The sequence below is a fragment of the Homo sapiens genome, chromosome X (assembly GCF_000001405.40).
Source record: "Homo sapiens chromosome X, GRCh38.p14 Primary Assembly".
Lineage (NCBI taxonomy): Eukaryota > Metazoa > Chordata > Mammalia > Primates > Hominidae > Homo > Homo sapiens.
Window position 1 is genome coordinate 146,021,702 of NC_000023.11, and position 25,503 is coordinate 146,047,204.

At 39.5% G+C, this 25,503-nt stretch overlaps 1 non-coding gene across 1 annotated transcript; it reads right to left on the reverse strand.

Annotated features, from left to right (window-relative positions):
• Positions 1–6,092: 6,092 nt before the first annotated feature.
• Positions 6,093–6,171, reverse strand: MIR891A (microRNA 891a). The gene has a single exon (NR_030581.1). It is a non-coding gene; the product is annotated as a microRNA 891a (primary transcript).
• Positions 6,172–25,503: the final 19,332 nt, after the last annotated feature.

Genomic DNA, 25,503 nt, shown 5'->3' on the forward strand with positions numbered 1-25,503 from the left:
GCCTCAACCTCCCAAGTAGCTGGAATTACAGGTGTGTGCCACCACACCCAGCTAATTTTTGTATTTTTAATAGAGACAGGGTTTCACCATGTTGGCCAGGATGGTCTTGAACTCTTGACCTCATGTGATCCACCTGCCTAGGCCTCCCAAACTACTGGGATTACAGGTGTGAGCCACCACACCCAGCCATGTTTGAGTTTTCAGCCAGGAAGCTCATAGCCTGGAGCAAGGTCTGAGTCCTGCATGAAGGCTGCCTGGAGATAAACTGAACACTGTTAGTGGGGAACAGTGGGAGCAAGATTGGCCTTGCCAACTGCGTGGGAGCAGGATGAGTTCTATCACTACCAGCATTCTCCTACTTTCTTAAAAACAGAGGCAGCCATAATCCCTGATGGAAAATAATCCCATTGGCCAGAGAACTACCTCCTGCTCCCCCACGGTGGCCACAACCACTGACCCACACCTGATAGTACTTCTCTACTCACCTTGCTAGCCAATCGCAAAAGACACAAACTCTTGGAAGCTTTGTGGCCCTGCCCATTGCCTGAGAAACCCAAATACTTATCCTGGCCAATGTAGGGCAAGCTTATATCCCCCTTTTACTATTGCAACTGGTACTCTCTTGATAGCACCACCTCCTGGCTGGAGACCAACCAACTCAGAACATTACAGCAATTCATAACAAAATAACCATACTCCAAGAAACAAGAAAACAACAACTAATTCCACGGCTTGCAACATCTGGCTAACCACAGGCCCTGAGTCTGTCTATGTGACAACTTCACTGCTAGCATAACCAGCATTCAAGAAAGTCAGCACACTAAACATATCTACAACCAAGGACTCTCAAAGAGTCTACTTCACTCCCCTGCCACCTCCACCAAAGCAGGTTTTGGTATTCATGGCTGGCAGACCTAAAGAGAGATCACATCGTGGGACTCTTTGCAGACACTCCCCAGCACCAGCCTGGAGACTGGTAACCCCGCGGGGAGGCTAGACCCAGAACAACAACAACAATCACTGCATTCTGGCTCCCAGGAAGCTGCATGCCTAGGGGAACGGGGAGATCCCCATCAAGGGATCACCCCATGGAAAAAATGAATCTGAACAGCAGTCCTTGAGTTCCAAATCTTTCCACTGAAATAGTCCACCTAAATGAGAAGGAGTCAGAAAAGTAATTCTGGAAATATGACAAAACAAGGTTCTATAACAACCCCGAAATACCACACTAGCACCACAGCAATAGAACCAAACCAAGAAGAAATCTCTAAATTGCCAGATAAAGAATTCAGAAGGTTGACTATTAAGCTACTCAAGAAGATACCAGAGAAAGGCAAAAACCAACTTAAAAAAATTAAATTATATAGGATATGAATGAAAAAATCTTCGGAGAAATAAATATCATAAAGAAAAAAACTATCACAACCTCTAGAAATGAAAGACACAGAGGAATACAAAATGCACCGGAAAGTGTCAACAAGACACTACAGCAAGTAGAAGAAAGGACTTCAGAGCTTGAAGACAAGGATTTCAAACTCATCAAATCAGACATAGATAAAGAAAAAAAAATTAAAAATGAATTTAAAAGGCCTCTGAGAAATTTGGGATTACGTTAAATGGCCAAACCTAAGAATAATTGGTATTCCTGAGGAAGAAGAGAAATCTAAGTTTGGAAAATTCGAGGGAATAATTGAGAAAAACTTCCCTGGCTTTTCCCAGAGAGCTAAACATCCAAATACAAGAAACTCTAAAACAAACAAACAAAAAACAAAACCTGGGAAATTCTTTGCAAAGTGATCATCACCTAGGCCTATACTCAACAGATTATCTAAAGACAAAAGAATCTTAAGAGCTGCGAGGCAAAAGCATCAGGTAACCTATATAGTAGGAAAACCTATCAGATTAACAGCAGATTTCTCAGCAGAAACCTTACAAGCCAGAAGAGATTGATATCCTATCTTTAGCCTTTTCAAACAAAATAATTATCAGCCAAGGATTTTGTATCCCACAAAATTAAGCTTCATAAATGAAGGAGAGATAAAATTTTTCAGACAAATGCTGAAGAGAATACACCACTACCAAGCCAGCACTACAAGAAATGCTAAAAGGAGTTCTAGATCTTCTAACAAAACCTTGAAATACACCAAAATAGAATCTCCTTATAGCATAAATTTCTAAGGGACTATAAAACATTAACACAATGAAAGAAAAGGTATTCAAGCAACAACTATTCAGGAAAATATATTCAATATTCAAATGTATTAATTTATTTCATTCTTCTTTCTTAAATGATACCTTCCTAGTCTTTTGTTTTGTTTTTTCTTTTTTTTTTTTTTTTGAGACAGAGTTTCACTTACATTGCCCAGGCTGGAGTGCAATGGCAGGATCTCGGCTCACTGCAACCTCCGCTTCCCAGGTTCAAGCAATTCTTCTTCCTCAGCTGCTGAGTAGCTGGGATTACAGGCTCCTGCCACCATGTCCAGCTAATTTTTGTATTTTTAGTAGAGACAGCGTTTCACCATGTAGGCCAGGCTGGTCTTTAACTCCTGACCTCAGGTGATTCGCCCCCCTCAGCCTCCCAAAGTTTTGAGATTACAGGCGTAAGCCACCACGCCCTGCCTGAAGTAAACATCTTGTCTCTAAAAGGCAAATGTAGACAAATGGGTGAGGCCTATTTCCAACATTTAGCATGCTCTCTGATTCACTATCAAAACGGAATGTGGAGTTTGCTTTTAGTTTTGCAATGCCTCATGCACGTAGTTAATATCAAACACCCAAAGAACTGAAGAAAATTAATCCGAAATGATTACTGTTAACTAGCTTTAGTAAGTTGGTTAGACAAGACATATACAAAAACCAAAAGCTTCCCTTAGTACCAGCAATCATTATATTAAAACATATTTGGAAACTACTGATTTTGATAATGGGGAAAGGCAATTCATTCCAACATTACTGCTTCGGACAACTAAGCAAGCTAAACAAAATATATTTTACAGCTCCTCTTGAAAGTCTCAAACACCTTCCTGTAAGTGAGGAAATGCCTGGCCAAAATCTAGGAGACAAGAACCAAGAAACGTAAGCTCTGTCTCATAAGTGGTTTGCACAGATGACATTTGCTAAATGCCTGACCCCAATCCAGTTCTCCTGGCCATAACTGGAACCTTACTCTCACTCCCACCTGAAATTATCAATATCCAGGCGATCATTCACCTATTATCCCGCTACTAAGCTTGACACAAATGTAGCAAAGTTTCATATCCTTTCTTCATCAAAGCAAATATAATTGTAGATACAGAGCAGAGAAGAAATATGTCCATTTTATCGGACTGTTAAAGGTCTAGAAAAGCTTTGAAGGCAAACATCTGGAAAACGATTCCTATTTTGACCCAGTTCTGCCAGTATTTATTTCTTCCACTGGCCCTAGGGGATTTAACTCACAAAGATGATGATAGGCTGTTTACCATGCAATGAGAAGCACTAAACACACCAGTTGGCATGGAGTCAGAGACTACTATATATCTCATTATATTTCATTGCCTTATTCCGTAAAAATAGAATTTCATTAAAAAAAGTAAATAGAAGTAAAAGGACAAGAGCTAAAACAAGAACTTACATTTCTGAAATGCCCACTTACACCACATCAATGTACTTAGGAATTTTCTGTGAATCTTCTCATACGTTCTCACAACAAACACATGATGATGAATCCACTACACACTCATTGACATGGATTTGTCATGAAGATTCGTGAGAACACGTGTGAAAATTCACTTGGATCCTCAGATATAACAATGCAGCAGATATTATGTTTCATGTAACATAAAGGGCATATTTAAAGAAGAAAAATGACCCATGAAATTTCCTATTTACAACCTACTTAACCATCTATGAGATAAGTTTGTCAGGAATTCTATTACCTATAATTCACCATCACTATCAACTATCTTTCTTTACAACAAATTGTCCCAAAATCTTTATAATTCTGATGAATGAGACAGCAATCCAGAAACAGCTGGCAGCAGGTACTTTCAGATTTATGATGGGAAGGCAGAGTTCTCCTAAGTGACTTGCTTGGAACTTACTGACTGTGATGATGTGGAATGAGAATTTCTTTAATACAGCAATGCATTAAAAATGGAGATATCACTGTCTATCTAGAGTCATTAAAACATTAAAACCATTAGATTTGTAAGGGTGGGAGAGAACAAAGAGACACTACACAAAGTACTTACTTCACAAACCATCAGTATTAACTATCAATAAATAACGGAAAAACAAGAATCTTAGCAAAAAGAAAGACGAATCTGTAGAAGTGCCCAACTGTATACTCAGATCTCCGAAACATACAAACATTTCCAAGAGGAGACTTCAGGATGGCTAACAACTTAAAGCCCTTACCAGATGAATTAGGTGGAGCAATGCTTTACTGAAAACTATTTAAAAATCCTATAGGTGTAAACATCTCACTAGAATGGTCTCAAAAATAATGAACGATATCAGAGGTAAGATGGTAATGAATAGGTAATATGTAAAAATTATGAGCTTTTTGTACATAGGCCTCTACATGTCTAAGGATTTCCAGGCTCTTACCATTTGGTAATCGGAGATTACTGTTTCCAGATCAGATGAAGGAATAGTGACCAAATTAATCTGCTGTCTAAAACAAAGAAAAACCAGATATATACAGAAAAACATGTCTTTCAGACACTGTAGAGTGATCTGTGAGAGAGGGGACACATTAGAACAGTCCGTCCATTCTCCTGCCAACTTCTCAGAGAGAGAATATTGACTCCAGTGCAAAGAATGGGAACCCAGGCAAAGCCTGGCAATTTTCAATATTAACAGATTAAAATGGAAAAAAAGAGATCATTTCAATTGATGCGGAGAAATATGTGACTAAATCTAACATCCATATCTAAAAATAATAACAGCAAATCAGGCATAGAATCGAGTATATCCTCAATTGGTTGAAGGGCTTCTATGAAAACGCACAGCTAACGGAAGACTTAATTGTTAACATTTTTATGTTTGACTCCTAAGATCAGGAACCAGGTGAGGATGTCCCATTCACCATTTATATGCAACAATTATGCCAAATTAAAGTAAATGATCAGGTAAGGACATAATATTTTATAATTTGCAATCATGGATGAATAAAATCAAGTCTGTCATCTTCAACCATTAACTTCCCCTTACCTGTGTTTGCAGTGGCGTCAACGCTTGCACTGCAAATAAATTATCTCTATGGGCATAGATATCCACAGGGTATTCTAGAAAAATATGTAAATTGAATCATAAAGCAGAATACATTACAATATGTATATGAAAAACCACCAATGAAATCCTATGAGTGATAACTGATGATACCCTTCTTAGTACTAATATAATAGCAGTGTTACTAGGACTGATACCATTAGTTATAGTACTAGTACTGCTTGCAGTAGTACTAACAGGACAATTTGCTTAATGACTACATGCCTGGCAGATATGTACTTCAGATTTTCATATGCATTTCCACATTCCATAACTACAACAAATTGTTCCCAAAGAAACGATATCCGAAAGTTTTGATTTGTCAGTGATTGAGGACATGTATATAACGTACATTTGCAAATGGAAAAAGACACACAGAAATGCAGAGATAATCACAGTAATCACAGATAACCATATAATCACAGAACAGTTTTGATTTGTCATAGCAATTGAGGACATGTGTAGAACATACATTTGCAAATGGAAAAAACCAGAAATGCAGAGATAATCACAGTAATCACAGCTAATCATGTGATCATAGAACAACATTAAGACTGCTACGCAGCGTTAACCTCACAGAAACCATCCACATTAACCTCAGAAAAACAGAAAATAAGAAGAAATTCATCTTGCTGCTACCTGTCCTCTGATCTCTGACCTAATAAAAGGTGTTTATTGAACATGCTGTCATTTTTACCAAAGTACTAGTAATACAGTCTCTACCGCTATGATTACTCTACTACCAGTGTCACTACAAGGAGGTGAAGGAGAAGCAGCAGTAGCTACATAACTGATGACTTACATGGTTTGCAGTGTCCATGAGGCCTGTAGAGATTATCTCTTTTGACCCTCACAACAAACATGTGCCACTGAGTATTTTACTGAATCAGTGGCTCAGGTTCGTTGCAAGGATTAAGGAGACAACATTTGTAGACTCTTTGGGAACCTAGAAAAAAACAAAGAAGCTACGTAATTATAATATGACTATGCAACATTGAATACCTAAAATAAATGACATACTAATTTACTATTCACAACCTGTGTAACTATCAGCATGTATATTTTCTTTCCCATTTGTATTAGTGATAATTTCCTGGTTCTGCAGTTGGAGGATGAAAATCTTGAAGGGGCTGGTAGTAAAGCTCTACCAATCCATTGTAAGAATTCCGACTTCCCAAAATTTGCAAATCACTGATTATGATACTGAATGAGGCTATCTATACCGAATGCAATTCTACAAATATAGACAATGATTCTCAACCCAGAAATACGTAAAATGTGACAACTACAAGATAAGTTTATACTGGGAAGAAAAAAAGACAGATTAAAAAGAATGACAACCTTCTCCAAACAACCAGCGATAATTGAGTGAAGACTCGTTGAAAAGCTAAATTTCTCTAAAAATATACATATGTATACATATATTCACAGATATCCATGCATACATAAGATAATGTCCCTGAAAAGCACACACACAAAAAATTGAAGGGATTATGTAATTCAGGCTTTATTCACAATAATAATGAGCAAGCCCTATATTGTTCATTTCTCTCAAATTCATTGCCTGTCCATATCTAACTCTATTTTTTTAAAGAATTTTGATAAAATTCTTCTACTGCTTATTGCCTAATGAAGTTCAAAGATATTAATAAAAAGATATATGAAGGAAAAATGTGGAGAATCTACCACAGGAGTTCCTAAATGGTATTCTTAACAGTTCTATAATAATAATCAACACTAGGTAATTGCCGTTTACAAATTCAAACTTTCCAAGAAAACCAAGTTGGTGTCTGATATGACACGTTAAATGAAGCAAATGGCTGTGAAACTTATGTTGAGCTGACAGTTCATACAAATTCATGATGTGATAGGCCAGTTGTACAATTAGAAGTAACTCTTGGTGACTTAACAACTCTGTTTATGCAGGATATTAATTTATTGAATATTTAATTGAGTATACAAAGGGAGGTGGTTATCTTTCTGGAATCATCTGAAAAAATGATGAGAACTGGTTGGAAATGGGGCAAGAATTAAAGACAAAAAATGACAAAATTATCTTTCCTGTTTTCCAGCCACAATCATACATCAAAAAAAGAATGTATTCCAAACAAAAATAAATCAAAAATTGCTAGGACAAATAAAGTTTTCACAGATATAGACACAAAACTATTTAGTTTCCTTTAGTAGACATAACATAGGTTTGCCTGGATAAGTATTTTTCATAATTTTAAATGACTAGGGGCCAGGCATGGTAGCTCACAGCTGTAATCCTAGCATTTTGGGCATCCAAGGAAGATGCATCATCTGAGCACAGGAGTTCACGACCAATATGGGGAAACCCCATCTCTACTAAACACACAAAAATTAGCTGGGTGTAGTTGCCGGTGCCATTAATCCCAGCTACTTGGGAGGCAGAGGCAGGAGAATCCCTTGAATCTGGGAGGTGGGGGCTGCAGTGAGCCGAGATCCCCCCATTGCACTCCAGCCTGGGAGATGAGGGTAAAACTCAAAAAAAAAAAAAAAAAGCTAGGATGGTAACATTTAAGTAAGAAGAACCTGCCCAGGTTCCCAATCAAGCCTGTTTATGCAAATGAAGTACTGAAACTTAAAACTCAGTTCTGATTGGTTGATACACCAGACCCTGGATTGGTGGACGTGAGTGACCTTTAATTGGTTGGTTTAGGGGAGTCCTGAAAGTCCCAATGTTAAATAGTGTAGGTTTTCAGGGAACTCAGAGTGCCTCTGTGACTCCTAGTTAGCAAATGGCCACTTTGCTTTATTTGAAATTTAGGCCTAGTGACCCACTCAGGATCCATCTTGAAGAATTAGCTCAAACATGGCAGCACACAGCACTTCCTTTCATCACAGCACCAGCAAACTGCTCTGGGTCCATCTAGTCCCACACATGGATCCCAGTGGCAGGGCACTAGCCAACTGCACTAGAGCCATTTACTTCAAATAAATGATGATTTACTTATGAGGCACTCAGGTACCTCTTAAATTTGAACAAAAGTCTCTTGGGTTAAGTTGCTTTTGGTTTCCTGCTAGAGTGAGTTTAAAGTCTCAAGAATCAGGCCAACACTATCCTGGTAGGGGTCTCTTACAGACATCTGTTAAAAGAGGATAAAACAATTTTACAGAGGAGGCAACTGCTTCCAAATATGAGGAAGATAAATACTTTTAGGGTAGAATGCAGAAAAATTCTATACCTGGGGGAAGCCAGCTAAAAATACATGGATATTGGAAAGTTAACCCAGTAAGGCCAGCCAGGAGGCTTCCTGAAGGTGTCCCTTTCAGAGATTTGATTAATTTGATACCTTAAATGTTCCCAATTCACCCTGGCTGGAATATTTCTTCAGGCACAGCCGCAAGTGTTAGCAACAGCACAAACACCACCCTGTGCAGTGAGGCGATAATCTAAAGCAATGTGGTCATCTAGGACCATGAAAGCAAGGGAGTCTAGGGACTTCTGTTGTGCCCTAGTGGCTTGGGCAGTGGAATGAGCAATTTTGTTAACAGTGCAAGAAAAATTTTTGACCATATATTCACTCCAAGCAGAACCTAGTCCAAACCAGGACCCCAGAAACCTTCCTAATCTAGCTTATTCACTAGAGTTAATTCCTCTGGGTACATCACCTCCTTCAAGAGTGTCCCAAACTGTAATGTAAAGGGTTCACAATTGGGGTTGGATTGTGGCCTAAGACTCTCATATAGCTCTTGGAAAGCAGGCTGGGTAGCATTGGTGAGGCTAACAGAATAGATCAAAATTTGGGTAAAAGCTGCAACAACTAGCACAATGAATACAACAGGACCTCACATGTCAACATGAACATTAAATGTCAATGGTCCAAATGCTTCACTTAAAAATACAGAATAGTGAAATGGATAAAAATCCACCAAGTATCTGCTGTCTTCAAGAGACTCACATAACACATAAGGACTCACATAAATTTAAGGTAAAAAGGTAGAAAAAATATTCCATGCAAACAAAAACCAAAAGTGAGCAGGAGTAGCTATTCTTATGTCAGACAAAACAGACTTTAAAGCAACAAGAGTTAAAAAAGACAAAGAGGGAAGTTATATAATGACAAAAGTGTCAGTCCAAAAGGAAATGATCACAATCCTAAATATATATGCTGCTAACACTGGAGCTCTCAAATTCATAAAACAATTATTACTAGACCTAAGACACGAGATAGATGGCAACACAATAATATTGCGGGACTTCAATACTCCACTGAGAGCCCTAGACAGATCATGAAGACAGGAAGTCAACAAAGAAACAATGGACACACACTATACCTAAAACAAATGAATTTAACAGATATTCACAGAGCATTCTACCCAATAACTGCTGAATATACATTCTTTTCATCAGCCCATGGAACACTCTCCAAGATAGATCATATGATAAGCCACAAAAAAACAGTCTCAATAAGTTTAAGAAAATCAAAATTATATCAGGTACCCTCTCAGGCCGCAGTGGAATAAAATTGAAAATTAACTCCTAAAGCGACACTCAAAACCATACAAATACATGGAAATTAAATAATCGGCTCTTGAATGATACTTGGGTCAACATTGAAATCAATATAAATTTTAAAAATTATTTTAACTGAATAACAGTGACAGAATTTATCAAAACCTCTATGATACAGCAAAAGCAGTGCTAAGAGCAAAGTTCATAGCATTAAATGCCTACATCAAAAAGTCTGAAAGAGCACAGACAATCTAAGTTTACACCTCAAGTAACTAGAGAAACAAGAACAAACCAAACTCAAGCCCAGTAGAGGAAAAGAAATAATAAAAATCGGAGCAGAACTAGATGAAGTTGAAACAAAAAAATACAAAAGATAAATGAAAAAGCTGTTTCTTTGAAATGAGAAACAAAATTGATAGAGCATGAGTGAGATTAACAAAGCAAAGAGAGATCCAAGTAAGTTCAATTAGAAATGAAACGAGAGGTATTACAACTGTTACCACAGAAGTACGAAAGTTCATTTACCGGCACCATGAATATCTGTATACAAACAAACTAGAAAATCTAGAGGAGATGGATACATTCCTGGGAATATACAACCTTTCTAGATTAAATCAGGAAGAAACAGAAACTCCAAACGGGCTAATAACATGTAGCAAGATTAAAACAGTAATTAAACACTGTCAACAAATAATTCTGGGACCAGATGGTTTCACAGCTTAATTCTATCAGGCATTCCAAGAAGAACTGGTACCAATCTTACTGAAACTATTCCAAAAGATAGAAAAAGAAGGAATCCTCCCTAAATCATCCTATGAAGCCAGTATCACCCTAATACTAAACCAGGAAAGGACCTAACAATAAAACAAAACTATAGACCAATATCTTTGATGAAGATAAATGAAAAACTCCTCAACAAAATACAAGCTAACTGAATTCTGCAGCATATCAAAAAGATCAACTGCGTTTCATACCAGCGATTATTTAACATATACAAGTCATTAAATGTGATACATCTCAAAAAAAGAATTAAAAACAAAAATTATATGATCATCGCAATAGATTAGAAAAATCATTTAAAAAATCCAGCAGCACTTTGTGATTAAAACCCTCACAAAAACTGGCCTAGAAGGGACACACTTCAAGGTAATAAAAGCGGTCTATGACAAACCCACAGCCAACGTTATACTGAAGGGGAGAAAAGTTGAAAGCAATCCCCTGAGAACTGAAACAAGACACAAATGTCCACTTTCAACACTTATATTCAACCTAGTACTGGAAGTCCTATCCAGATCAATTAGACAAGAGAAAAAAATAAAGGGCGTCCAAACTGGAAAAATGGAAGTCAAACTCTTACTGTTTGCCAGTGATATGATTGTACACCTACAAAACCCTAAAGACTCATCCCAAAAGCTCCTAAATCCGATAAATGAATTCAGTAAGGTTTCATGATACAATATGAATGTACACAAATCAGTAGCACTGCTATACACCAACAGTGACCAAGCCGAGAATCAAATTAAGAAGTCAACCCATTTTCACCAGTTGCAAAAAATAAAATACTTAGGAATATACCTATGCAAGGAGGTGAAAGAGCTCTACAGGGAAACTACAAAACATTGTTAAAAGAAATCACAGACAAATGGAAACACATCTCATGCTCATGGATGCGGAGAATCAATATTGTGAAAATGACCATAGTGCCAAAAGTAATCTATAGATGCGATGCAATTTCCATCAAAATACCATCATCATTCTTCATAGAACTAGAAAAAGCAATCCTAAAATTCCTATGGCACCCCCAAAGAGCCCCTATAGTCAATGCAAGATTAAGCAAAAAGAACAAATCTGGAGGCATCACATTATCTGACTTCAAACTATACTACAAGGGAAGGGTGGGAGGGGGGTAAAGGATAAAAGACTACACATTGGGTACAGTGTACACTGCTCAGTTGACAGATGCACCAAAATCTCAGAAATCGTCACTAAAGAACTTTTCCATGCAACCAAATACCGCCTGTTCCCCCAAAACTATTGAAACAAAAAGGATAGATTGCTATTTGTTAACTTTCTTTCCTATTGAGCACTCATATCTTATAGGAAGTCTTACTAGGAATTATTGTGTTTGATTTTTTGATGCCAAAAACTCTCTGGCTTTAATGTGTCAGGAAGACAACATTGTAAAAAGCTGGAGAAGAAGGAGGTAAAGTCATTCTCATTCATGGTTTTAGGGCTCGGTTCTCTGAATACTAAGAACTCTTATGAGAAAAGAGTTGAATATTGCTAATGACTTAAAACACTTACCAGATGTTTTAGGTTGCACAATGCTCTATTGAATATTATTTCAGACCTCCATTAGTGTAATAGTATAACTAGAGTGCTCTGAAAAATTTTTAGTGACAAGAGGTAAGATGGTGGGACAAAAAGGAAATTTGCAAAAAAAATGAGCATGTTTTTTGTCCACAAGATATAACCCATCAGAAAACATGATGAAAATAACAAAAAGATAAATATATATACATACACATAATTACTATGCACAAATCTATATTATTTCCAGACATCGATGAATAAAACAGCAAATCTGTCCAATGAACCCGGAGGTGGATGGCACAACCTATTATGAACCCATTTCAGGGGATGAGTTAGATCTACTTCGAAAGCCCATTCCCAATTGCTGAGGCTAACCTCCATTGACCAGTTGTCCACATTTGGCTATCACAGTTCAAATGGCAGCAACGTTGCTCCTGCGCTGAAAGTGAATCTTTTGTTGGAAAACTTATGTTTCATTGTCACGTGTATGTACTTCATTAGAGTCAAGAATAACTTCCAAAATATAGACTATTAAGAAAGAAAACATTTGGCACTACAGGTCCCAGCATATCCCACCTATTACAGTGTGATAATTAACTTCCTTCCAGTTTTAATTAAAAGTGAGTGATAAAACTACTCATCATGGTGTTAGTATTACTTAGTAGTAATACTGTTGAAAAGACCAAGAAAAGGGGAAAGAAGTTAAAGAAGAATGGGAGGAAGACGAGGAGGAGAAGAGGAGGAGTCAGATGAGGAAGGGGAAGGAAAAGAGGAAAAAGGTGAAGAACAGGAAGAAGAGAAAGAGGAAAAAGAAAAGAAAGAAAACAACAGGAGGAATGTTATTCCATTTCCTTACTTCTCATTTATTTTTAAATTTTTTTTATTTTCATAGGTTATTGGGGAACAGGTGGTGTTTGGTTACATCAGTAAATTCTTTGGTGGTTGTGATATTTTGTTGCACCCATCACCCAAGCAGTATAAACTGAACCCAATTTGTTGACTTATCCCTCACCTGCTTCCCTTCCTTTCCCCCTGAGTTCCCAAAGTCCATTTTGTCTTTCATTATGCCTTTGCATCCCCATAGCTTAGCTCCCACATGTGCCTGAGTATATACAATGTTTGGTATTCCATTCCTGAGTTACTTCACTTAGAATAATATTCTCCAGTCTCATCCAGGTTGCTGCAAATACCATTAATTAATTCCTTTTTATGGCTGAGTAGTCACAGAATTAGAAAAAAACAATCCTAACATTCATATGGAACCAAAAAAGAGCCTGCATAGCCAAAGCAAGACTGAGCAAAAAGAACAAATCTAGAGGCATCACATTACCATTAATATGTGTTATCAAACACATATTAATGTATATGTGTTATCAAACACATATTAATGTATATGTGTTATCAAACACATATTAATGTATATGTGTTATCAAACACATATTAATGTATATGTGTTTGAGCCTGGGAATATTCTTTAATATTATGCCCAGACAGATAACATGGATTAATGAAAAAGGGTTGAATGGAGATTTTATGGAAGAGATGACTAGTTTTTGTTAAATATGTTTGCATATTTAATAATTAAATATGTTAAATATGTTTTGTTAAATATGTCACTAGTTAAATTGAGAACATGCTTTGGCATGATGTGGCTACTGTTGTCATTGAGGACAGTCAGGGGGCTCAGTACACTATGATCTCATATAACCCTCATTACCAGCTACCTTTCCAGACAAGAAAATATCAAGATTCCACATCACAGGTTTATCTTGAAGGTTAAATACTGCAATATATGTGCTACAAATTACCACAGATATAATGACAACATCTCATCTTTGGATTCCCTATCCAACATAATACATCCATTCCTGACCTTTGCACTACCTACTTGGAAACCTCTTTCCTTTGTCATGGGTTAGGATTAACCACATAATTTACTTAATTTAAGACCTGAAGGTCTCTAGAGGAAGGGTCCCCAGTCCCCAGGCCATGGACCGGTACCAGTCCGTGGCCTGTTAGGAACTAGGCTGCACAACCGGAGGTGAGAGGCAAGGAAGCCAGCATTACCACTTCCTGTCAGATCAGTGGCAGCATTAAAATCTCATAGGAGTGTGAACATTATTGTGAACTGCATGTGTTGGAGATCTACATTCTGCACATCTTATCAGAATCTAGCTAGAGAATCTAATGCTTGATGATCTGAACTGGAACAGTTTCATCCTGAAACCATCCCCCTATTCCCAGTCCATGGAAAAATTATCTTCCACAAAACCGGTCCCTGGTGCCAAAAAGGTTGGGGCCTTTGCTCCCGAGAGTATAAAAGTGAGGAGTCTGCCAAGGCCATAGTATCTAAACCAGTACCAACCTCACCCTACAATGACGACAGAAGGCCTAGATCTTTGAACTGAAGTGAACATCTTGTCTCTAAAAGATAAATGTAGAAAAATGGGTGCGGCCTATTTCCAACATTTAGCATGCTCTCTGACTCACTATGAAAATAGAATGTGGAGTTTGCCTGTAGTTTTGTAATGCCTCATGCACATAGTTACTACCAAACACCCAAAGAACTGAAGAAAATTAACCAAAAAGGATGACTACTGTTAACTTGCTTTAGTAAGTTGGGTAGACAAATAAGACATATACAAAAACCAAAAGCTTCCCTTAGTATCAGCAATCATTATATTAAAACATATTTGGAAACTACTGATTTTGATAATGGAGAAAAGGTAATTCAGTTCAACATTACTGCTTTGGACAACTAAGTAAGCTAAGCAACATACATTTTACAACTCCTCTTGAAAGTCTTAAAGACCTTCCTGTAAATGAGGAAATGCCTGGCCAAAATCCAAAAGACAAGAACAAAGAAAGGTAAGCCCTGTCTCAAATGTGCTTTGCACAGATGGCAGTTTCTTCTAATATGATGAGGTTCAAGTCCATCTTCCATATACCTACCAGAGTTTTCCTTTAAAAATATTAGACAGACTATACCAATCCTTTGCTCAAAGGCTTCAATAGCTGCTCATATCATTCAAAATAAAATCCAAGCGAAATCGTTGCCCTATAAGAGGCCTTCTCTGATCTGTCCCACCCCCTGCCCTTTTGACTCCACCCTCTACAATGCTAACTTCTCCTTCTGCTCTCCCATTTCCTCTCTTCCTTGAAAATCTGGGAACACTCCTCCAAGCAAGAAATTATCAGGAGATCCTCCCTCAGCCTTCAATGTTCCTCCAGAGAGCCACCAGGCTTGCTCCCTCACTTCCTCCAAGTCCCTTCTAAAATACCACATTACCAACAAGAGCCTTGACTGATTCCTCCTCCCATTCCTTACCAACACTGCTTTTTTCTTTAAAATGCTGACATTCTTGGTTACTTGTTCGTTTTCTGTCTCTTCCTACTACAATAGAAGGATAAGCTGTTTTTTTTCACTTTTGTGTCTGCAACAGCTAGAACAGTGCTTTGTACATGGTAAGCACTTAAAAATTTGTTAATCTTATCAACAAATAGTAATAGTGTGGTATCACTGCAAGGATTAAATGATAGCTGATTTATGGAGAACTGTTAACTCCAGTGACGTCAGGTACATAAGATTTCTATAAATTATCAATCCAAGGTAAAGCCTCATTTTATGCCATACATCAAACTTCCTTAAAAATGAGTTCAAAAGATGAATTTTAAAATATTATTGCATCTAAACCTATTGATTAAAAGGTATGTCCAACATGTACTGTTAGGAAGAAAAACATTGCAGAATCCTATTTAAATAAAATCTTAACTATCTAGATCTATATCTGATATGGTTTGGCTATGTCCCCACCCAAATCTCATCTTGAATTCCCACATGTTGTGGGAGGGAACTGGTGGGAAGTAATTGAATCATGGAGCAAGTCTTTCCTGTTCTTTTCTCATAATAGTGAATAAGTCTCATGAGATCTGATGGTTTTAAAAAGAGGTGTTCCTCTGCACAAACCCTCTCATTTTTTTGCCTGACACCATCCACGTAAGACGTGACTTGCTTCTCCTTGTCTTCTACGATGATTGTGAGGCCTCCCCAGCCATGTGGAACTGTAAGTGTAATAAACCTCTTTTTCTTCACAGTCTGAGGTATATCTTTATCAGCAGCATGAAAATGAACTAATCAAGTAAATTGGTACCAGTAGAGTGGGACACTGCTGAAAAGATACCCAAAAATGTAAAAGCAACTTTGGAACTGGGTAACAGTCAGAGGTTGGAACAGTTTGGAGGGCTCAGAAGAAGACAGGAAAATATGGGAAAGTTTGGAACTTCCTAGAGACTTGTTGAACGGTTCTGAAAAAAATGCTCATAGTGATATGAACAATAAGGTCCAGGCTGAGGTGGTCTCAGGTGGAGATGAGGAATTTGTTGGGAACTGAAGCAAAAGTGACTATTGTTTGTTTAAGCAAAGAGACTGGTGGCATTTTGCCCCTGCTGTAGAGATTTGCAGAAATTTGAAGTTGACAGAGATGATTTAGGGTATCTGGCAGAAGAAATTTCTAAGCAGCAAAGCATTCAAGAGGTGATTTTGGTGCTGTTAAAGGCATTCAGTTTTATAAAGGGAAGCAGAGCATAAAAGTTCAGAAAATTTGTAGCCTAACAATGTGATAGAAAAGAAAATCCCATTTTCTGAGGAGAAATTCAAGCTGGCTGCAGAAATTTGCATAAGTAACAAAAAGCCAAATGTTAATCCCCAGGGCAGTGGGGAAAATGTTCCCAGGACATGTCAGAGGTCTTCATGACAGCCCCTCCCATCACAGGTCCAGAAGCCTAGGAGGAAAAAATGGTTTTGTGGGCCAGGCCCAAGGTCCCTGTGCAGTGTGCAGTCTAGGGACTTGGTGCCCTGCTCCCCAGCTGTTCCAGTCATGGCCGAAAGGGGCCAACATAGAGCTCAGGCTGTTGCTTCAGAGGGTGCAAGCCCCAAGCCTTGGTAGCTTCCATGTGGTATTAAACCCGCGGGTGCACAGAAGTCAAGAATTAAGGTTTGAGAACCACTGCCTAGATTTCAGAAGATATACAGAAACACCTGTATGCAGAAGTTTGCTGCAGGGGTGGGGCTCTCATGGAGAACCTCTGCTAGGGCAGTGCAGAAGGGAAATGTGGGGTCAGAGCCCTCACACAGAGTCCCCACTGGGCACTGCCTAGTGGAGCTGTGAGAAGAGGGCCACCATCCTCCAAACCTCAATATGGTATATCCACAGACAGCTTGCACTATGCACCTGGAAAAGCCACAGACACTAATTGCCAGCTCATGAAAGCAGCTGGGAGAAAGGCTGTACCCTGCAAAGCCACAGGAGCAGAGCTGCCCAAGACCATGGGATCCACCTTTTACATCAGCATGACCTGGATGTGAGATGTGGAATCAAAGGAGATCATTTTGGAACTTTAAGATTTGACTGCCCCGCTGGATTTCAGACTTGCATGGGGCCTGTAGCCCCTTTGTTTTGGCCAATTTATCCCATTTGGAGCAGCTGTATTTACCCAATGCCTGTATTCCCATTGTATCTAGGAAGTAACTAACTTGCTTTTGATTTTACAGGCTCATAGGCAGAAGGGACTTGCCTTGTCTCATATGAGATGTTGGACTGTGGACTTTTGAATTAATGTTGAAATGAGTTAACACTTTGGGGGACTGTTGGGAAGGCATGATTGGTTTTGAAATGTGAGGACATGAGATTTGGGAGGGGCCGGGGCAGAATAATATGGTTTGGCTGTGTCCCCTCCCAAATCTCATCTTGAGTTCCCATGTGTTGTGGGAGGGACCTGGTGGGAAGTAATTGAATCATGGGGGCAAGTCTTTCCTCTGCTGTTTTCATGATAGTGAATAAGTCTCACAAGATCTGATGGTTTCATAAGGAGGAGTTCCCCCACACAAGTTCTCTCTCTTTGCCTGCCACCATCTACGTAAGATGTGACTTGCTCCTCTCCTTGCCTTCCACCAGGATTGTGAGGCTTCACCAGCCATGTGGAACTGTAAGCCCATTAAACCTTTTTTTCTTTGCAGTCTTGGGCATGTCTTTATCAGTAGTGTGAAAATGGACTAATACAATATTTGTATGAATATCTATAGAGAGAAAGAGAAATACATATGCACACCTGTGAATAACAATGTATTTGTTTCAACCTGCAAAAAGTTGTGGACATGTTCCTGGTTGTTTATCTGGTTTAAGTCAGGAGAGTTAGAATTCAAGACTAGAGGTAGGGATAAGATAGCAATGTTTTTCTAGATATGTCTTGCATAATACACTTGATAAGCAAGTATTCATTTATAATTTGCAAAAAACAACAAGAAATAATAATCAAGAAAAATCTGAAATCAAACAAATACAACACAGTATATTACCTTAAAGACACACCAATAATCCTCTCCAAAGTCTCCAGATACCCTATCTTTGAAAAGACGTTAAAGGTTGGTCTAAATATACAAACCAATAAATCTGACTCATCACATAAAAATAACTAAAAACAAAAATGACATGATTATCTCAATAGATGCAGAAAAGGCTTTTGATAATATCCAGCATCCCTTCATGTTAAAAGCTCTCAACAAACTAGGCATCGAATGAACACACCACAAAATAATAAGAACCATCTATGACAAGCACATAGCCAACATCATAATGAACTGGCAAAAGCTGGAAGCACTCCTCTTAAGAACTGGAACAAGAGAAGGATGCCCACCCTAAACATTTCTACTCAATGTAAGTACTGGGAATCCTAGCCAGAGCAATCAGGCAAGAGAAGGACATAAAAGGCATCCAAATAGGGCAAGAAGATGTCAAACTATTTCTGTTTCCAAACGGTATGATTGTATACCTAGAAAACCTCCATAGTCTCTGCCCAAAGGCTCCTGGATCTTTTAAACAACTTGAGCAAAGTTTTAGGATATAAAATCAATATACAAAATTAGTACAATTTCTATGTATTAATAAAGTCCAAGCTGAGAGCCAAATCAAGAATGCAATCCAATTCACAATAGTCACAAAAAGAACAAAATACCTAGGAATACAGCTAACTAGGAAAGGGAAAGATCTCTACACTGAGAATTACAAAAAACTGCTGAAAGAAATCAGAGATGAAACAAGCAAATTAAAATACATTCCATGCTCATGAATAGGAACAATCAATATTGCTAAAATGTCAATACTGCATAAAAAGCAATTTATAGATTCAATGCTATTCCTATCAAACTACCAATGACATTTTTCACAGAATTAGAAGAAAACATTCAAAAATGCATATGGAACCAAAAAAAGACCCCAAATAGCCAAAGCAATCCTAAGCAAAAGAACAAAGTTGGAAGCATCGCACTACCCCGCTTCAAACCACACTACAAGGCTATGGTAACAAAAACAGGATGATACTGGTACAAAAACAGACACATAGAACAACAGAACAGGATAGAGAACTCATAAATAAAGCCACACACCTACAACCATCTGATCTTCAACAAAGCTTACAATAACAAGCAATGAGGAAAGGACAAAGTATAAAGTACTGAAAATATTTTTTAATCACAAAAATTGAGAGTAAAAAGGGAGACTTATCTTGTAAAACGGCATAATAAACTACAATAAAAAATTGAGTGGAGAGTGGTTAAGGGCTCCAGAGTTTACAGAGTTCAAGAAAAAAAATGGTGGTTTCAGATGATAATGGGCAAGCTATATATTTGGAAGAAAAAAGTAAAATCAAAGTTATTCTGCTCTACATAAACAATTATATCCCACATGAAGGAAAAACTTGAATTATAAAAAAAGATTTCTATATAAACAACCCAAGCATATCTAATGTATATTCACTAGTATCTATTTCGTTGAGTGTAGAAAATCATGCAGAAGCAGAGGCTGTCAGGCCACCAATACTGAGTATGCAGTGTTGAGGGTATAGATGGAGTGAAGTGGGAAAGACAACTTTTACTCCATTTAGTTTTGCCTATCTTTTATTCAGGATAAACAAGTACTACCTATTTTCAAATCATGAGAAAGAAAATATGTTAATGCAAGTTAACTTGGAACACTCACTAAGCCTATTTTACGCACCATGAAGGAAGGAAGGAAGTAAACGGGGAAGGGAAGAGGAGGAGAAAGAAAAGGAGAGGGAAGAGCAAAGAAAAGTAAAAGTGGAAAGAAAACGGGGAAAGAAAAGAGGGAAAGTGAGAGGAGGGGAGGGGAAGGGTAGAGAAAGATGGGAAGGGAGAAGAGAGAAAAGAGAAAGGGAAGGGAGGGGAGAGGAGAGTATTGGAGAGAAGGAGAGGTGAGAGAGGAGAAGACAAAAAAGAGGAGAGGAGAGAGGAGGAGAACAAAAGCAAAGAGGGGAGAGAGATGCTAAGAGAGAATAGAAGGAGCAGGAGCAGAGGAGAGGAAAGGGAAGGGAAGAGGAGAGGGAGAAAATGAGAAAGAAAGGGAAAGGAGAAGACAAGAAGGAAAGGGAGGGGGAAAAGAAAAGAAGGGGAGAGGATACAGGAGAAGAGAGGAGGCTCCACTGGCATGCACCTAACACAGAGGTAGCGTTGTCAATACAAAATGTTCAACAGCATCCATCAAGCTTCTTAATATTACTGAAAGTTGGGGAGAAAAATAAGAAATATTAACTTGCATCTATATTGTCTAATATGAGCAATGACAAACTAAAATATATAAATAGGAAAAATACTACTCAAAAAATTTTTGTCATTAAGAGAAGAGAAGGAAAGAGACAGGAGAAGAGGAGAGAGGAGAGAAAGAAGAAAAAGAAACCTTTAGAAAGAGGAGGTGGGGGCCGGGCGCAGTGGCTCACGCCTGCAATCCCAGCACGTTGGGAGGCCGAGGCGGGCAGATCACAAGGTCAGGAGACCGAGACCATCCTGGCTAACACGGTGAAACCCCGTCTCTACTAAAAATACAAAAAAATTAGCCGGGCATGGTGGTGGGCGTCTGTAGTCCCAGCTACTTGGGAGGCTGAGGCAGGAGAATGGCGTGAACCCAGGAGGCTGAGCTTGCGGTGAGCCGAGATAGTGCCACTGCACTCCAGCCTGGGCAACAGAGCAAGACTCTGCCTAAAAATAAATAAATAAATAAATAAATAAATAAATAAATAAATAAATATAAAAAAAGGGAAGAAAGAAAGCGGAGATGGGAGAAATGGGAGGGGAAGGGTTGGGAAATAATAGTAATATTCAGAAGCTACTATCAAATGTTTGCTACTGTATCAGATATTGCAGTGAGTGCCTTTACATTGTGAGGACAACGTCAGACAACAAATATGCAAACACTTTACAAACAGGGAGCTGGCACAAAAAGATAAGGGAGGATTATAGCCTTGTTTCTAGATCTAATTAAAAGCTTTAAATATATATATACATATACATATGTGTATATATATATACACATATATGTGTGTATATATATACACACATATATGTGTGTATATATATACACATATGTATATGTATATATATACACACATATATATGTATGTGTGTGTATATATATATATATATATTTTTTTTTTTTTTTGAGACAGAGTCTCTGTCTCCCAGGCTGGAGTGCAGTGGTGCGATCTCGGCTCACCGCAAACTCCGCCTCCCGGGTTCACGCCATTCTCCTGGCCTCAGCCTCCCAGGTAGCTGGGACTACAGGCGCCCGCCACCACGCCTGGCCAATTTTTTGTACTTTTAGTAGAGACGGGGTTTCACCGTGTTAGCCAGAATAGTCTCTGTCTCCTGACCTTGTGATCCGCCCGCCTCGGCCTCCCAAAGTGCTGGGATTACAGGTATGAGCCACCGCACCCAGCCTCAAATGTACATTTTCTTACTCAGGGCCCAGCTACCCACCGGAACATAAGTACCAGGGATAAACCCCTTAGGGGCTCAACTTCACTCCCAGTGTTCAATCACAATTATTTTTAACCAAGAGATATTGTCACTAATGCCTCTGGATTCACGTTGCTGCCTTGCAACCATAGGGTGCCCAAAGGAAGGACTCTTCCAGTGGCAACCACGTGACATTGTGATCTCAACAACAAAGGTCGACAACAAAGTCTAAAGAAAGGGTTGCGTAGTGCGACCGAGAGACCCAGCTCCAAACAAGACTTTGTTCTGACTTGCTCTATGCCTGTCCAAGTTTGTGAAGATATGGTTATATGATTGAAAAATTGCAATGCATCCCATGTAAAGGGTAAAACTGTCTTCCTGAAATCTCAAGAACATCAAGTGAAAATCTCTGAGAACTCAGAAGATCGTTCAGCAAATCAAACAGAAAAAAGGCAAATATGAGCACTCTGTGAGCAATGCGAATTTAAAAATACCCCTTCACAACAGAAAGAAGGTAGACAATTTAGCAATAAGCCAATGCAGATTTGTCCAGAACATGAATGAAGAAAATATTGAAAGTGTCAGGAAGTTTTAAAACCAGAGACTGAACAATGCACACGGGCCCTTCTAGTCCCTGGCATGAATCCACTGCATCAGGTAGCGATTGCTCTCAAATTAAACGCTGGATTTGGAATCGTTATATTTAAAACAACTACTGAACCAAACAATATTAAAGCACAGGTACAACAATAAATTAGTGAGAAAATGTATGAAATTACCCACCACAAACTGTGGTGTAAAATGGCGGTATTGCAAAGGTTATCAGGGAGACTTAGTTATTGACACAGACCAAGGGATGAGAACCAACAACTCATATTACACTCGGCAAATGGGCCAGTCTTGGCAGAATATTAATCCTTGCATCTCACCAAAATTCTCCAAAAAATCCACTTTTCTGAAAAAACAATAAAAAAAAATCGTCTGCACAGAATCAGGATTTAGACTTTAAAATATGAAGCATAAGAACCTCCCTGGAGGTACATCCAATGGGACCTCCTCAGCAATGAGAGCAAGTTGTAGAGCAAAATCAGAGCATGCCCCACATGTGGACTAAGGAAGAAGTCCAGCCCTGCCCACCTGAGATCCTAGCTGCCTCAGGTCAGGAGTGAGAGAGGCTGCCTAAGGCCAGATGGGCCTTAAAGCTGGTTTTGTAGGGGGTAGCCTTGGATGATTGACCCAGAGAACACCACTCGATTCTGGCTTGCACATCTTGGCAGCAAGCGATACATTCGAAAGCAAAATGCCAGTAGAAATACCGAGCACAGTAACTAACTCATGTACGTGTTTCTACTGAGTCCCAGAATTTCTCTAACTTTCAAATGCTCTTGTCTCTCAAAATCAGACAATACCTGCTCTCTGAGTAATAGTAACAATTTACCAAGAATTGTGTAGAACCCTTATAAATATACCTGTAAAACATTGTTGAGGGATATAACCAAAACTTGCATCAAAGGATATATCTACATATATGTATGGCAAGATCTTATACTGTAAAATAATGGTTTTTATCTCACCAGCAGTTTTCGAAAACTGCATTAAAAATCCCAGAGCCGTGACACTTTGGGGCACTGCTGGCCAAGATAGATTTCTGTAATGACAGGAATGTTTTATATGCATGCTACTCATATTGCAGCCACTAGCCACTTTTGCCTATTGTGCGCTTGAGATGGGAAGTAAGATTGTATTTAATTTAAAATAAACTATCAATAGTCATGTGTCCAGAATTGGTGGGTTCTTGGTCTCACTGACTTCAAGAATGAAGCCGCGTACCTTCGAGGCGAATGTTACACTTCTTAAAGGCGGCGTGTCCGGAGTTTGTTCCTTCTGATGTTCGGATGTGTTTGGAGTTTCTTCCTTCTGGTGGGTTCGTGGTATCACTGGCTCAGGAGTGAAGCTGCAGACCTTCGCTGTGAGTGTTACAGCTCTTAAGACTGCGCCTCTGGAATTGCCTCTGGAGTTGCTCGTTCCTCCTGGTGGGTTTGTGGTCTGGCTGGCTTCAGGAGCAAAGCTGCAGACTTTCACAGTGAGTGTTACAGCTCATAAAGGCAGTGTGGACCCAAAGAGTGAGCAGTAGCAAGATTTACTGCAAAGAGCAAAAGAAAAAAAAGCTCCCACAGCATAGAAGTGGACGCTATCAGATTGCCACTGCTGGCTCCAGCAGCCTGTTTTTATTCTCTTATCTGGCCCCACCCACATCCTGCTGATTGGTCCATTTTACAGAGAGCCGATTGGTCTGTTTTACAGAGAGCTGATTGGTCCATTTTGACAGGGTGCTGATTGGTGCATTTACAATCTCTGAGCTAGACACAAAAGTTCTCCATGTCCCCACTAGATTAGCTAGATACAGAGTGTCGATTGGTGCACTCACAAACCCTGAGCTAGACACAGAGTGCTGGTTGGTGCATTTACAAACCTTGAGCTAGATACAGAGTGCCGATTGGTGCATTCACAATCCCTTAGCTAGACATAAAGGTTCTCCAAGTCCCCACTAGACTCAGGAGCCCAGCTGGCTTCACCCAGTGGATCCGCACCGGGCCACAGGTGGAGCTGCCTGTCAGTTCCGTGCCGTTCGCCCGCACTCCTCAGCCCTTGGGTGGTTGATGGGACTGGGCGCCATGGAGCAGGGGGCAGCGCTCGTCGGGGAGGCTCAGACTGCGCAGGAGCCCAAGGTAGGGTGGGGTGGCGGGCGGGGGGGCACTCAGGCATGGCAGGGTGCAGGTCCCAAGCCCTGCCCCGTTGGGAGGCAGCTAAGGCCTGGCGAGAAATCGAGCACAGCAGCTGCTGGCCCAGATGCTAAGCCCCTCACTGCCCGGGGCCTGCGGGCCCGCCGGCCGCTGCGAGTGCAGGACCCGCCGAGCCCACGCCCACCCGGAACACGCACTGGCTCGCAAGCGCCGCGCGCATCCCGGGTTCCCGTCGGCGCCTCTCCCTCCACACCTCCCCGCAAGCTGAGGGAGCCAGCTCGGGCCTTGGCCAGCCTAGAAAGTGGCTCCCACAGTGCAGCGGCAGGCTGAAGGGCTCCTCAAGTGTGGCCTGAGTGGGCGCCAAGGCCGAGGAGGCGCCTAGAGGGAGCGAGGGCTGCAAGGGCTGCTAGCACGCTGTCACCTCTCAGTCACACCTGGTAAGTTCAACTTTAGGCAATCCATTCATGAAATAAAATTAAAGACTAATGAGGTATTTCTCATACTAGATACTAAAATGGAAAAACTACCAAATTAAAACTGTAAGGTCTTTTAGCTCAAGAATGAACAGAGTTGAAACAAGTATTATACTAAGGTCAAATGCTTTTGGGAAAATTAGATGTTTGTGAAAAAATTAAACTGTTAAATCAGCACTTCACAATTTACACTCAATAAATTTTATATGAGTTAAGAGGTTGAATTTTAAAATGTACAAGATAAATCTATTGATCTGGAAAGATTTCCATTTTAAGTGAAAAAGAAAGTTTAAAATGCATAGCATGCTGGCTGTTTTAAGGAAACATTTGTTAAAGGTTACCCATGTTTTGGTATAAACAGAGGGGCCTCTCAGCCTGAGTTGACTGTTGGGGTATGCAGCATATTTGGAGGAGTTGGTGGGGGTGTGGGGTGGTTAG